Source organism: Homo sapiens, chromosome 2 (assembly GCF_000001405.40).
Source record: "Homo sapiens chromosome 2, GRCh38.p14 Primary Assembly".
NCBI lineage: Eukaryota > Metazoa > Chordata > Mammalia > Primates > Hominidae > Homo > Homo sapiens.
The window spans coordinates 10132794-10147562 of NC_000002.12; the positions used below are offsets into that span (position 1 = coordinate 10132794).

Below are 14769 nucleotides of genomic sequence, written 5' to 3' on the forward strand. Positions count from 1 at the left end.
CCAGGCGTCAAGAAGATGACCAACTACTAGGACAGCCTCCCTGTGGGTGGCCTGCAGTCTGTTCTGCTCCCCCCGGCCCCATGCCAGCTGCCATGCTCTATAGAACATGTCTCCCATGCTGCCCGAGGAGGGCCTGCAGAGAGTTGAGTGGTCAGGCTGCTGAGTCAATTGCCCTGGGTACTCATTAGATACATCCTCCCCGGCCTCACCCCCAGACCTACTGAATCAGTCTGGGGGTAAACCAGGGACCCTGTAATCTTAATGGGAGATCTCAGACACTTGAGATCGGGTGGGATAGACTCCTGACATAAAGTTCAAACCAGTGGACGTCAGTCCTGGGTGTGAATTATAATCACCTGGGGGCTTTTAAAAGCTACTAAAGTCTGGATCTCACTTGGGGAAAAGGCAGCCCTGCTGAGCTTCAGCATGTTCCAGATGTGTTTTCTGGTGTGTTCTAGACATGCTGTGTAAGAGTTACACTTCATTGTGTGTGCACATTCGGGGCCCTGCCCAGCTGCAGTGGCCAGGCCTGGCTGCTAAAAGCAGACCTACCAAAACCTCCCTTCACCTGGTACTGCTGTGGCCTCTGACCTGAGGACTTTGTCATGCAAAGGAGGAACCAGATGGGTGTTCTGTCACCTGGCCAGGGAGCTAACTGGCTGTATTTTGAGGATCAGTGGCCCTGCCAGTGTCGGTCTGGAGATCCTGATAATGGTTTAACTCCTCTTAGCAAGACAGGCACAGGCCCAGCCCCTCATCCGTGAGTGGCTGCAGTTGGACTGCGTGGCCTGGCCTCTTCCAGCAGTCCCTGAGTATAGAGGGGCTACCCTCCTGGTGTCTGTCTGGACACAGAAGGGAACACATCAGTGGTGTCTCCCTGCCATTCCCTGGAGGGAATATGACATCAGGATTTTTTTTTTTTTTTTTTTTAATGATGAGAATAGCTGAACCCATTGCTGCTTAAGGTTCAGTAGTCATGTTCACCTTAGCCTTGGCTCTAGAGACTGGAGTGGCTCCAGCAAGGTGGTGGACTAAGGAACCGAACTCCTCTTGCTTCAAACACCTGCCCATGATAAATAGCACAGCAAAAAGTTAAATAGGTGGGCCGGGCATGGTGGCTCGCGCCTGTAATCCCAGCACTTTGGGAGGCTGAGGTGGGCGGATCACCTGAGGTCAGGAGTTTGAGACCAGCCTGGCCAACATGGTGAGACCCCATCTCTACTAAAAATACAAAATTTAGCCGGGTGTGGTGGCCCATGTCTGTAATCCCATTACTCCGGAGGCTGAGGCAGGAGAATCACTTGAACCTGGGAGGCAGAGGTTGTAGTGAGCTGAGATTGCACTCCAGCCTGGGCGACAAGAGTGAAACTCCATCTCAAAAAAAAAAAAAAAAAAAAAAGTTAAATAGATGATCACCTCCTGGGAAAGGAGAATGACCTCTTTTGGGAACAAAGAAAGTGACCATGGAGGCCCCGGAACTTGTAGCAGCTCTCCGAGTGGTTGTTAGTCCCTTAGAGAAATTAAATGGGCAGGGGCTGACGTGCAATTGGATTTGGAGGGAGAGGTTAATCTAAACCAGGGGAGGAGTTGGGACCAAAACCGTGGCATAAAGCTAGGGGCCCCAGTGACACGGGAACTAGACAAAAATCCCATTGGCACAGTGGGGAAGATAAGGGTTTTAATCCTTCTGGATTCTTAAAAACCTTCACATAAATTTGTGGTCTAGGAACTACTCAAAGATAAATTAATCCCCAGTATTGATCCCTAGCCTGGTTGCACAGGATTCCCACAGGTGGGGTTCACACTTCTTAATTAGAAACTCAGACAACACAACAGATAAAAGGAAAAAACACGGTATGGTGAAGAAATAGATTTTCGGAATCAGGTAGAATGGGATACAGCATAACTACTAGAGTTCAGGCTCTTAGAGCTATTTCAACACAGCTTAGTAAGATTAGACATAGCTGAAGAGTGGACTTGTGAGTTGGAAGGGATGTATCTAAGGGAATTATTCTAAAGAAGATGAAAGAAAGCATGGAGAGAGTGGACAGGCAGTGTTTGAGGAGGTAAAGACTGGTGACTTTCCAGAATGGACTCATCCTTGAGATCAGGAAGTCCCCAAGGAATCACACATGAGAAGCAAACATTCATTCCTAGTCTCATTTGAATGAAGCTGCAGAACATGAACAAAAAGAACAATCATTAAACGAATGTTTCAACGTAAGCCAAAAGATTATGAAATCATATCTTCAATGCTGAGGGAATCATTGGACAAAATTATTATTCAGAAAGAAGATACATTTTCATGCCAAGGTTTTACCATTCACATCCCCAAGCCAAAATAATTCCTAGCGAATTGAGCCAAAAGAGGATGGTGATGAGCAGAGAAATTGGTTGGTCCACAGTGAATCAATAGAATCAAAAGGAAGCTGGGCATCATGGTGCATGCCTGTGATCCCAGCTACTCACGAGGCTGAGGTGGGAGGATCACTTGAGTCCAGCCTGAGCAACAGTGAGACCGAACTCAAACAACAAATGGAACTAGAATAATGGACGCTGCAGAGGGATAAAGAATACCAAGGTCTTTATACTATTAGGCCTTGGAGGTATATGGTTTAAAGTTTAAGGATGACCACTGGAGGCATAGCACCAGAAGATTTAACTTCAACTTCCAAAGTAGGGGCCCTGGTGGGGGAGGGGAGGGGCATGCGTGCGGGTGTGGGATGTGTTGCAGAGGAGTTAAAGCTTGACGGGCTTAGAAGGTGGAAAGGGTCGAGATGCAGCAGAGAACAAGTCAATGGAAAGCACAAAATAGGATGGTAGAAATAAAAGCACAGTAGATGTAAATAAACTTAAGAGTTAAAACTCTTAAGGCTCAAATTCTAGCTATAAATGATTGCCAAACTAAACACTTAAGAGTGTAAACAATTACTATAGGAAAAAGACTTTAAAGCAAAAAGCCCATTAGAGATAGAAGTTATTGGCCTAAAGAATGATTGTTCCTCTGGGAAAACACGATGGTGATAACTGCACCAAGCAACATGGTCTCTGCAGTGTTTGGGTGTGACTTCATCCCTGCCTCCCCAGGGACTGATGAGTCCTGGGCTCAGGCTCAGAGTGATGAAGCGGGTTATTGTCTTGGTGCTGCCATATTCTCTTAGTCATGTGTTTTTTTTTTATTCATTGTCCTCTGGCCCTACACACAGTCCCTAGGTTTGCTTTTATGCCAATTGCAGAGAATCTCCATGGCTCTACTGGCAATTGCTTGAGAGCTCACATTCCTACCGGATGTGAGAAGATGTTCCATCTTCCTGTGTCCGGGCAGCACCACCAAAGTGCGGGGCTGGGGCAAGCCTGGATGGGGTAGGGTGTGGTCAAATGACTGCTCACAAGTGAATGGTTTGGATTATGCAACGTGGCCACACTGGAATCTCAATAAAGGGCAGAGGGGTTGAGGCCCAGATGATACCAGGTGAAAAGACAAGACAGGTTTGCAGCATGTGCTGCGATGGAGATGCTGGGGCCTCCTAGTCTGGGGCAGGCTGAGCCTTCCTGGGTGTGGGTGGGCCTCCACTGTGCAGGGTGCTGTCCTTCCAAGCTTTGGCAAGATGGAATCTGTGTTGGGTGTGGGTGTGGCCTTGAAAAGGCACGCTGTCATCTAGAGGCCACTGCTTGACCCCCTGTTGCCCTTTATCAGAGGTGCGGGTGGCTAGTGCCTGCAATGTCAACACTGGGAGGCCAAGGGGGGAATCCCTGGCTTGAGGCCAGGATTTCAAGACCAGCCTAGGCAATATAAGGAGACCCTATCTCTATAGAAAAATTTTTAAAAATTAGCCATGTGTGGTGGCATGCATCTGTAGTCCCGGCTACTCAAGAGGCTGAGGCAGAAGGATCACTGGAACCCAGGAGGTTGAGGCTGCAGTGAGCCATGCTTGCACCACTGCACTCTAGCCTGGGCAACAGAGCAAGACCCACTCTTAAAAACAAATACCCTGGCCATAGCCCCTGGGAGTCTAGTCTCCATGCAACCAGGACCCCATGAGCCACACTTTAAGGCTTTTACTTTGGGGGTGAGGGGTGGGTAGAAGGGAGGCCAAAGGTTGGGGCTGTTGAACCCATGAGGGTAGACCTGTCCAAGAGTGAGGCCCTGACTGAGGAAAGGAGAGCTGATCTACAGAGAGGCTGAAGCCTCATCATATTCATTTTCTGAGTCCAGTGAATTCTGAAGTCCACATCCCAGATGTTTCACAGAAGTAAATCAATACATTCCTGATAGGATAAGGTTGATTTTCCTGCCACGTGCAGTCAGTTCCACCCCAACAGAATTCACTTGATCTGCACAGCCACCGTGGGGCAGAGATGATTGCCCCCATTTTACAGATATGGCCGGGAGGCTCAGGGAGGCCATGTGCCTCACAGAGGACTGGTCTGCACAAAGACCAGTGGGTGACCAGAACTTGCACCTGTCTACATTCGTCCCCTCACTGCATGTGCCCCTCTTGATGGGAGAGCAGGCACCTGCCAGCCCCATGCTGGTCCGCCCAAGGAATGGCTCCTAAAACCACCAGCTGGCCAGTGAGTCATATGGAAGGGTTTGGTCATGCCTACACTCGTCCTGCCCTTCCTCCCTGGTCATTACACTGTGGTAGTGGGGGAGGGTGACCTCTGCTTTGCCCCTTGTCACCTGGGGCAAAGGGTGGGATCCTGTCCATATAGGACCAGGGGCTCTCTTACTGTCTGCACTTCACTAGTGGGGGCCACTTTCAGTTTGCTTCTACCTGGGACGCTCTGGGTACTATGCTAGAAAGGTAGCTTATGGCCACAAAGTCTAGGGACAGGTACTCACATGCCCAAATGGAGCCTCACGCTTAGGAATGGGGTGAGTGGGAAGCAGTAGCTTCCCTTGGAGGTGGAAAACGGGGAGATTTCAGTTTCCAGAAAGCCCTGGGGCAGCAGCTGCCTGGGTGAGGTCTTCCCTGAGCCTCTGAGTCTTCCCTCTCCTCTACTTCAGGGGGGTCTAGCCTCTCCTCCAGAAGGGGTGCCAGGACGAGATGGGAAGGAATTTGCTTTGGAAGGCTGGGAACAGGTCCTGCAGCTGCTCTGGCCTTCCTCTGGACTGATGTGGGTCCCAATGTTACTGAAGGGCACTTCCAGGTCCTGTTAGTGCAGGGGCCGCTGCAGCAAAGGGCTGACTTTAGGCTCCCTCTTTGTTTTGTTTTGTTTTTGAGATGGAGTCTTGCTGCGACCCCCAGGCTGGAGTGCAGTGACGTGATCTCGGCTCACTGCAACCTCTGCCTCCCAGGTTCAAGTGATTTTCATGCCTCAGCCTCCTGAGCAGCTGGAATTACAGGCTCCTGCCATCATGCCCGGCTAATTTTTTTTTTTTTTTTTGAGATGGAGTTTCTCCCTTGTTGCCCAGGTTGGAGTGCAATGGCGCAATCTCAGCTCACCACAATCTCTGCCTCCCGGGTTCAAGTGATTCTCCTGCCTCAGCCTCCTGAGTAGCTGGGATTACGGGCACATGCCACCATGCCCTGTTAATTTTGTATTTTTAGTAGAGACGGGGTTTCTGCATGTTGGTCAGGCTGGTCTCGAACTCCTGACCTCAGGTGATCCGCCTGCCTTGGCCTCCCAAAGTGCTGGGATTACAACCATTAGCCACTGTGCCTGGCCAATTTTTGTATTTTTTAGTAGAGACTGGGTTTCACCATGTTGGTTGGGCTGGTCTCGAACTCCTGACCTCAAGTGATCTGCCCATATTGGCCTCCCCGTGTTGGGATTACAGGTGTGAGCCACTGCACCCGGCCTTTCACCTCCCTTTTGAAAAACTGACTGCTCTTGGAGCCAGTTCTCACTGCTTATGAAACGGTTGGGGACATCACATCACTGCTCTCAGCCTCAGTTTCCACATCGTGAACTAGGATTTGTAATCCAGGCCCAACAGGCTTGTGAGAATTTAGATGAGTGAAGTGCTTTCATAAGCAACTTTTTCACGTGCCATTCAGTTTGCCCATCTAAAGGGTATGGCTCTTGGCCAGGCGTGGTGGCTCACGCCTGTAATCCCAACACTTTGGGAGGCCAAGGTGGGCGGATCATTTGAGGTCAGGAGTTTGAGACCAGCCTGGCCAACATGGTGAAACCCCATCTCTACTAAGAATACAAAAATTAGCCGGACGTGGTGATGGGTGCCTGTAATCCCAGCTACTTGGGAGACTGAGGCAGGAGAATTGCTTGAGCCCGGGAGGTGGCGGTTGTAGTGAGTAGAGGTTGCGCCATTGCACTCCAGCCTGGGTGACAGAGTGAGACTGACTCAAAAAAAATAAAGGGTGTGGTTCAGTGGTCTAGTATATCCACAGGTATGGGCAGTCATCTCCACAGTTGAACATCTTGCCCACCCCAAAAAGAAAGCTCGTGTCCCTTAGTCACTCCCTGTCTCCCGTCTGCCGCCTCAGCCCTGGGTAGCCACTGAGCCACTTTCTCTGGTTTGATCTGGCACTTCTAAAGTAGAAGTTATTATTGGCAAAGGCACTGGCTCATATTTCTAAGAGATCATTTAGAATGCCAGGGGCAGCAGAGGATGGGTCTTCCTTGCAGAGAGAAGTTTGATTTACATTTCAGAAGGATCTTTCCTGGCATTTTAGGCCACTTGGCATTAAAAAGAGACTTGTGGGGCATTGTCTGGAAGGGGACTTTTGCCACTGTGAGCTGGTGACAAGCTGACTAGAAGTGGGGGTGTCAAAGGCTGGAATCACCACATTGCTGGGGGCGGATGAGGGGACAGTTAGTGGATTTGGGGTCTGTTCTTTCTCATCTCTCTTGGTGACCCTTCCCCTCCATCAGGAAATGAGGTGCTGAGCCATCTCTATGGTCCCAGCCTTCGGTTTTGCTCTGTTTGGGGCGTTTCAGAGAGCTGGACTGTCCCAGGCCCCTTGGGAATTGGAAGCAAGTCCTAGAACTTTCTGGAACACAGAGAGTGGTCTGTTGGGCCTTCCTTTGCTTCCTCAGTTCCCACCCTCCTCCTCCACTCCTTTCTAGGACTTTCCTTCCTCCACCCCTGGATCCTCCAATGTTAACGGAGCAGGGGTCAGGAAATAGCCCGTGGGTGGGATCTGGTTCACCGCCTGGTTTTATACATACCAGGAGCTAGGAATATGTTTTAAAAATCAAAAGAATGGCTGGGCGTGGTGTCTCATGCCTGTAATCCCAGCACTTTGGGAGGCTGAGGCGGGTGGATCAAGAGGTCAGGAGATCGAGACCATCCTGGCTAACACAGAGAAAGCCCCTCTCTACTAAAAATACAGAAATTAGCTGGGCGTGGTGGCGGGCACCTGTAGTCCCAGCTACTTGGGAGGCTGAGGCAGGAAAGTGGCGTGAATCCGGGAGGCGGAGGTTGCAGTGAGCCGAGATTGCACCACTGCACTCCAGCCTGGGCGACAGAGCAAGACTCTGTCTCTAAAAAAGAAAAGAAAAAAAAATCAAAAGAACATTTCGTGTTGCATGAAGATTCTATGAAATTCAAATTTCAGGGCCCATAAATAGCTTCGTTGGGGCGCAGCCACACTTGTTTGTTTACGTATGGTCTGTGGCTGCCTTCACCATGGATAAGAGACTGGAATAGCTGCTGTGGTCTGTATTTTCTATCTTTACAGAAAATGCTTGATGAGCTCTGAGTAAGGCCTGACCATGTTCCTGAGAGCTCCGTAGTGGACCTGATGGGAAAGTAGTGGATGGCATTGGTGGTGGCTGAGCCAGCAGGGTGCCTGCTCAGAGAGCCGGTTATTAATGGAGTGCTAACCAGTCACTCTAGATGAGAAATACACAGATCACATTTAAACACAGGGAAAGCTGTTTACAGGAAAATGATAAAATAGCAGAACGTAAAGTTATGGGTATACTGTGCTTACGTTGTCATAAAAATGTGTACATATGGATAGAGAGGAAGGTGTCCCACGTGGAGAAATGAAAAGGTGCCTTAGGGGGCAGGTTGGGAGTAAGAGCAGTTTTTCTTTCTATTCTATTTTTCTGTTTAAATTTTCCTATAATGTTCTTATAATAAGTGTTGATGAGCACTCGCAGCCACCAGGGGAAGCAGCTACCCAGGCAGAAGGCTATTCTGGGTCTCAGGTGGGCTTTAGGGAGAGGGACCCTGAGCTCTGGACCAGGGTTAGGAGGAGGTGCCCCGGGCATGTGGAGGCTGGCAGCCCTCGCTCCTGTGAACTGGCGGCTGGGGCTGCATCTCGCCCACGTCGCTGTCATGTGCGGGGCCCACGTTGTGAGTTGTGTGTCTGCTCACTATTGTGCTGTAGCCTCTGGAAGTTGCTTAGGAGCTTGGGATTTCGTGGAGAGGTGGGAGTTAGTTGCTTCTGTCCAAAGAGGTCGGCCAATGGGGGCCATTCTGAGTTCAGAAACCGCTGGCTTGGAGCCCGATGGACCCAGCCAGGCCCAGCTCTGCTGTTGACCAGTTATGTGCTCTGGGACTCAGGTTAAGTCTGTGGGTGGCAAAACTGGCACCTCCCATCCCATCTTCCCTCCATCCCCTCCCCCCACCCCCATGTCTCACTCTGAGCCTTAGGGAGTTGGTGCCACCTAGCTACGCTCACTGACACGCATCTCATGCTGTGCTAGGATGTTGTCCCCATGTTAGTGTGCCCTCTCCAGGGAGACTGCCAGCCCTCGTGGGTGTGCATCTTCTGCTTCTGCATCCTTGGTCACTGCCAGCAGAGGTCTGGGCACATGGTGGTGGACAGTGGCTATTAACTGTGGTTGTGCTGGAATGGAGGAGGCCTGGTGTCTGGTCTTGGAGTCAAGAATGCATGTGCTTAAGGATTCCAAGATCACACGGAGGAGGGTATGATTAGCTCTGGGAAGCGGGGAGGCAGGAAGGAGGGCAAGAGACCTCGACCTGTTCTTGGGAAGGAAAGAGCAGGTGAGGGTGGGGTACTGTTCCAAGCACGGGAAACAGAGCCCCAGGAGGTGGCCATGGCCTGGGGCTGGGGCTGGGGCTGGGAGGCGGTTGCTCCAGCATGCAGTCACTGAGCCCTCCTGTATGCACTGCTGCAGGTGCTGGGAGACCGTGAAGTGCAAAGCAGATGGAGTCCAGGCCCTCGGGGAGACAGCACGCCAGTGAGGGAGATGGAGACCAATCACCCACCCAGTGTGCGGTAAGTCAGACGGTGACAAGCTCTGAAGACAAGGAAAGCAGGGAGGAAGGGGCGGGCTATGCCCCTTGCTCTTTCATGTGGGGAGCCAGAGGGAGCCAGAGGATGTGGGGATCGACCACGTGGTTAGGGGAGGAAAGCATGTTTCAGGCGGAGGGTGGGCAAGCGCAAAGGCCCTGTGGCAGGCGCGTCTGTGAGTGGTCAGAGCAGAGTGAGGGGTGGGAGATGGGGCTGGGTCAGTGGAGTGGGTGTGTACATGCAGGTCTGCAGACCCAGGTAAAGAGTCTGGATTTCATTTCTAAGGGGATGAGAAGCTCGGGAAGGTCTGACCAGCCTTACGTCTTGAAAGGGAATCCCCTGCTTCTGCGTGTCAGGTGTTACTCGGGGTGCGCCAGTGGAAGCGGGAGGCAGTTGCAGCTTTCAGGTGAGAAATGATGGCAACTCGCACGGTGGGGGAAGAGGGGCCACTGTGGAGGTGGCTTGCGGGGCCTGTCATCTGCTGTTTCCTAGCTCAGTGTACAGGGCCCCCACGCACCCCTGCCAGGTCGGAAATCCAGGTACTGCCAGCCTCTGCCGTTCTACGTGTGGCCAGGCGGGGGAGCTTCGCCCTCCCATGTCCCTCACCCCATGCCCCAGACAGCACGGTCCTGCGATCCCCCTCCCATTCCAGTGCTCAGTATAGCCGTATCCCTGCAGGCTCAGGCCCCCACCATGGCCAGATCCCCCACCCCACCTTCACCCTCCGCCAGTCCATTGCACACATAGCATCTGGAATGGTCTCGGGCAGCACCTCAGACGATGTGGCTGTGTTGCATGAGCCCCTCCCCTCACCGCAGCTCTCGGCCCTGCCTGAGCCCAGGTGCCCGCGGGCTCCCCGCTCACCTCTGCCTTGAACCTTCCTGAGTCTGAGCTTCTTTTTTGTTTTGTTTTGTTTGGTTTTGAGACAGAGTCTTGCTCTGTCACCCAGGCTGCAGTGCAGTGGCGCGATCTCGACTCACTACAAGCTCTGCCTCCTGGGTTCATGCCGTTCTCCGGCCTCAGCCTCCCGTGTAGCTGGGACTACAGGCGCCCACCACCTCGCCTGGCTAATTTTTTGTATTTTTAGTAGAGACAGAGTTTCACCGTGTTAGCCAGGATGGTCTTGATCTCCTGACCTCGTGATCTGCCTGCCTTGGCCTCCCAAAGGGCCGGGATTACAGGCGTGAGCCACCATGCCTGGCCTGAGCCTGAGCTTCTTAAACACCACATCCTCTAGCCTCCTGCCTTCACACAGGCTGTTCCCTTAGCCTGGACTTTGTCCCCACCCACCCGCTCCTGATCTTTCAGGTCTCAACTTACAGGTCACTTTCCCTGGGAACCTCCTCAGACCCAGTGAGGCCAGATTAGGGGCCTCCTCAGAGCCCTCATGGCCCCAAGTGTTTACCACTTCGCTTTTTCATACTATCCAAAGTGCACAGAATCGTACACTTTTCTGATGCCTTGTTCCAGCTGAGTGCCCTGAGGGCAGGGATGGGGTCCGTGTCCTCCGGTGTGCTCAGCCAGCACCTGGCCAGGCACTCTCAGTGTTGTTGAATGAATGAGCGAGTGAGTGACCCGCAGGGGAAGCTGCTGTGTCTGACACGGTAACGTGCAGGTTGCACTGGGGGGGCCTGGTTGAGATCATGACTGGAGTCCCTGGCCCCCAGAGTGGGAGTCATCAGTGGGGCTCGCTACCTCTGCACAATTTTTTTTTTTCTTTGAGACGGAGTCTTGCTCTGTCGCCAGGTGGTACAGTGGTACGATCTTGGCTCACTGCAACCTCCGCCTCCTGGGTTCAAGCAATTCTCCTGCCTCAGCCTCTCGAGTAGCTGGGACTACAGGTGTGCACCACCGTGTCCAGCTAATTTTTGTATTTGTAGTAGAGACGGGGTTTCACCATGTTGGCCAGGATGGTCTCGATCCCTTGATCTTGTGATCCGCCCGCCTTGGCCTCCCAAAGTGCTGGGATTACAGGCGTGAGCCACCACACCCGGCCCCTCTGCCCACTTTCTTCCCCTTCCTCCTCTCCCGTCTCCACCAAGGCTGTCTCTGGAGTGGCTGTGGATCTGACAGAATGCATGTCCGCTCTGCCATCACTATTCACGCACAGCGCCTGTTGGGGACTCTCCTGTAACCCAAGGGGGTAGCGGAAGGATGGAGCTTCAGGCCTTGAGGGCCAGGAAATGAATGTGGAAGACTGAATCCTCAGGGGACCCCAACTCTGGGCCGGGTCTGGGGCTCTGTTTTGAGGACGGGGAGTGGGAGGAGGTGGCAGCAGGAGCCGGCGTCTGAGGCATCTCCTCACACTCTTCCAAGGTCAGAGACGAGGTCTCAGATACGCTTGCTAATGCACGATTTATTTCTTTTTCAATTTCCTTTGGAACCTGTGCTGTGCAGATGTTCACATGATGTGGTGGGGAAGTGAGTTTTATAAAACTCTTGGCAGAGTACCATTCGGCATCCCTGTGGTTCTAGAGATTTCTGGGGCCTCGGGGCTGTAGCACCAGCTGCAGACAGCTGCCTGCCTTCTTACAGTGCTCAGCTTTTGGGTCCAGCAGCTTTCTCAGTCCCAAACACATGTGACCTCACGATTCTGGCCCTTCCATGATCCGCAACAAACTGTTCTGGTGTGTAGGTGGAATTCCTATTTTTAATAGCCAAGTTGTTGAGAAATTGTAGGGCTTCTACTTCCTTTTGAACGGAAGGGCTCCGGAGATATTTATATCTTTGCTTCTATAGAATCTAGGAGGTTGTCTTTACCCAGGGAGGGTCAGCATGTGGAGAGGGTCACCTGGGAGAGGCCCCGGTGTCAGCCTGCACTTGCCGTCAGTAAATGGTACGACATTGAGCACCAAGGAGCTCAGCCAGCCCCTCGAGGGAAGTCCTAGCTGCCCACTGGGGGAAGGGCGGGGAGGCATGAAAACAATGACCCCACTGGCTGGTGGGGGTGACCGTGTTATGCAAAGTGTACACCATGTAGCATGAGCACCGGGCCGGGAGCCCCCAAGGCTGCTGGGGAATCAGGGAGACACCAAAGAGGAGGTGGCCTTTCCCTTGAAGGGTAAGGGATCTGTAGGAGTCTGTGGGAGAGTGGAAGCTGCGGGAGGGAAAGGAGGGAGGGAAGGAGGCCTGGAGAGAGGAGGGAGGCTCTTGCATTCCAGGCAGGTATGGGAGCTCCTGGCAGAGTTTGCAGTACCCAGTGGCTCAGTGTGGTTGGAGTTGGCTGTGGGCCAGGTGGGTGGGTAGACAGGGGCCAGGTCTGGAGGGGTTTTTAGTGCTGTGCTGAGGGGTCTGAAGTCCATCCCGAAAGTTGTAACTGGGGAGTGGCACGGTGGTGAGTTAGAGCCACGTCATTCAAACTTTCTCAAATTCCCATACATAGAGACCTAGTGTGCACACTCGCAGCCCAGGCTTGTGAGCTGCAGTCGCCCTTGCCATGTGCAGCTCGTTCTGGCGTGTTCTGTTCTGCTTCTATTCTGGCTCATTTGTTCTATGAACAATGCTGTTTGCAATCCTCTACATTGGCTTCCTCTCTCCCTGAATATTTTTGATCTGCAGTTAGAACAACACTGGATTGGCAAGAGGGAGACTGAGGCGGGAACCCAGGCAGAGGCTGCTGTGAGTCCAGCTAGGATGAGACGTGGGTGCCAGACAGTGGGCCTGGGGCAGACCCCAGGGACTCCGCAGTGAAGACCCCACCTCAGTGGTCCTGGGCCCCAGGCCTCAAGAGACTTGGGGCAGCTCCCTAAGCAGCAAGAGGGGTCCTGTCATCGTGAGGCGTGTTGAGGATCCAGAAGCTGTGGTTTCATAACTCCGTCACTGTGTGGTGTCTGAAAGCCATTTCATTAAATGTCACATGGAATCAAAATAGAAATTACATCTCTGGGACAAAGCCCATTGAGCCAGGAGCCAGGGATTCTGAATTGGAACCAGAATAGCCTCCGAAGCTGGGACTGTGGATCCAAGGCTGCCCCCACCCCCTGGGTCTCGCTCACATCTGCACTCCCCAGAGGGGGCAGGTGGTCCTGGAGCCTAGCCTACCTGCCGAGAGTCAGAGGTGGCTGCAGGGGAACCATGGCAGCCCTCCTTCTCACACTCATCCTGGGCACCCTGCACCAGCAGAAGGGTTTACATGTACAATCACCCATCCCTAGCCCCTTCTGGGAGGGAAGCATATCTTACGGATGGCGACCTTGAGGCTCAGGGAGGTTAAGGTGCCAGCCTGAGATCACACAGCCAGTGAGAGGCAGAGACAGGGCTTAAACTCCAAACGATGGCTCCAGAGCCCCCTCTCTTTTCCATGCCCTGGGCTGCCTCTTTCCCCAGTGCACCTTGCTTTTTGGAACCAGATGACCAATGTGGAAAGACACGAACTGATTCAATCAGAGTGTATGGAGAAGGGACTTAGAGACCCTGGTATTTTTAAAGCTCCCTGGTAATTCTCATGTGCAGCTAGGGTGGGGCGCCTCTGCTCTGCGGAATAGGGAAGGGGTGTAAGTGGCCCTGTGTCTCCCCTCTGTCCCCACCTGCCACCTGCTGGTCCATCCATTCAGCCGTTGCACGGACAGGTTGCCTTCTGGGGGCTGCTAGCCCCCTTGCACTGGGCAACGCTGTGTCCCCTCTGTCCCTCCCCCCAGCGCATGCTCCTCGCTCTGCCCCTGCTGCAGGTGGGCCATGCTTGGAGGGCGCAGGAGAGCTGAGATGGGGTGGGGATGGATCAGGCCTTGAGAGGGTGCCTGGTAAGCCCCGGGAAGGGTAGGGAGGAGGAGGAGGGAGAGGAGAGGGCAGTGCAAGGGCAGCGACCCCCAGCCTTGCCCCCGTTTTGAGCACGGGGAAAGTGTACACAGGTAGTGAGGAAATGCCTGCGTTTGGGTGCGTGTTCATTTCTAATCCATTTTCACTTTTTGTGTATTCTTTCTATCTACTTTTTAAAGGTTTGTTTCTTTTCTAACTTCCTGTTTTAGATGTATACTTTAGTTTCTTTATTTATTTTTATTTATTTTTTTGAGATGGAGTCTCTGTTGACAGGCTGGAGCGCAGTGGCGTGATCTTGGCTCACTGCAACCTCTGCCTCCCGGGTTCAAGCGATTCTCCTGCCTCAGCCTCCTGAGTAACTGGGATTACAGGCGCGCACTACCACGCCCAGCTAATTTTTGCATTTTTAGTAGACATGGGGTTTCACCTTGTTGGCCAGGATGGACTTGATCTCTCGACCGCGTGATCTGCCCACCTCGGCCTCCCAAAGTGCTGGGATTACACGTGTGAGCCACTGGGCCCGGCTTAGTTTCTTTATTTAAAGATAAGGGTTTTTTTTTGTTTTGTTTTGTTTTTGAGACAGAATCTCACTCTGTTGCCCAGGCAGGAGTGCAGTGGCACAGTTGTAGCTCACTGCAACCTCAACCTCCTGGGCTCAAGTGATCCTCCCACCTCATCTGAGTATCAGGGACTACAGGCATGCACTACCACACCCAGCTAATTTTTGTATTTTTTTTGTAGAGACAGGGTTTCGCCCTGTTGCCCAGGCAACAAGCAAATCTGCCCACCTCAGCCTTCCAAAATGCTGGGATTACAGGCGTGAGCCACCACGCCCGGC

At 52.6% G+C, this 14769-nt stretch overlaps 1 protein-coding gene across 1 annotated transcript in view, besides 3 other annotated features; it reads left to right on the top strand.

The window, feature by feature from the left end:
• Nucleotides 1–14769, top strand: part of RRM2 (ribonucleotide reductase regulatory subunit M2) — an 88443-nt gene that overhangs the window by 10226 nt on the left and 63448 nt on the right. Inside the window, exons 10-11 of the transcript NR_164157.1 lie at nt 9061–9161; nt 9462–9582. The gene's annotated coding sequence lies outside the window, so the exon portion shown is untranslated. The remainder of the gene's footprint in view (nt 1–9060; nt 9162–9461; nt 9583–14769) is intronic.
• Nucleotides 208–871: an enhancer, noted in NCBI's record as "OCT4-H3K4me1 hESC enhancer chr2:10273128-10273791 (GRCh37/hg19 assembly coordinates)". NCBI's record gives its function as "activates a minimal SCP1, AML or CMV promoter by ChIP-STARR-seq in primed H9 embryonic stem cells {active_cell/tissue: H9 hESC(primed)}" and the evidence as "EXISTENCE:reporter gene assay evidence [ECO:0000049][PMID:30033119]".
• Nucleotides 9802–9851: a silencer, noted in NCBI's record as "silent region_11159". NCBI's record gives its function as "represses an Ori minimal core promoter by ATAC-STARR-seq in GM12878 lymphoblastoid cells {active_cell/tissue: GM12878}" and the evidence as "EXISTENCE:reporter gene assay evidence [ECO:0000049][PMID:35858748]".
• Nucleotides 9876–10537: an enhancer, noted in NCBI's record as "H3K4me1 hESC enhancer chr2:10282796-10283457 (GRCh37/hg19 assembly coordinates)". NCBI's record gives its function as "activates a minimal SCP1, AML or CMV promoter by ChIP-STARR-seq in primed H9 embryonic stem cells {active_cell/tissue: H9 hESC(primed)}" and the evidence as "EXISTENCE:reporter gene assay evidence [ECO:0000049][PMID:30033119]".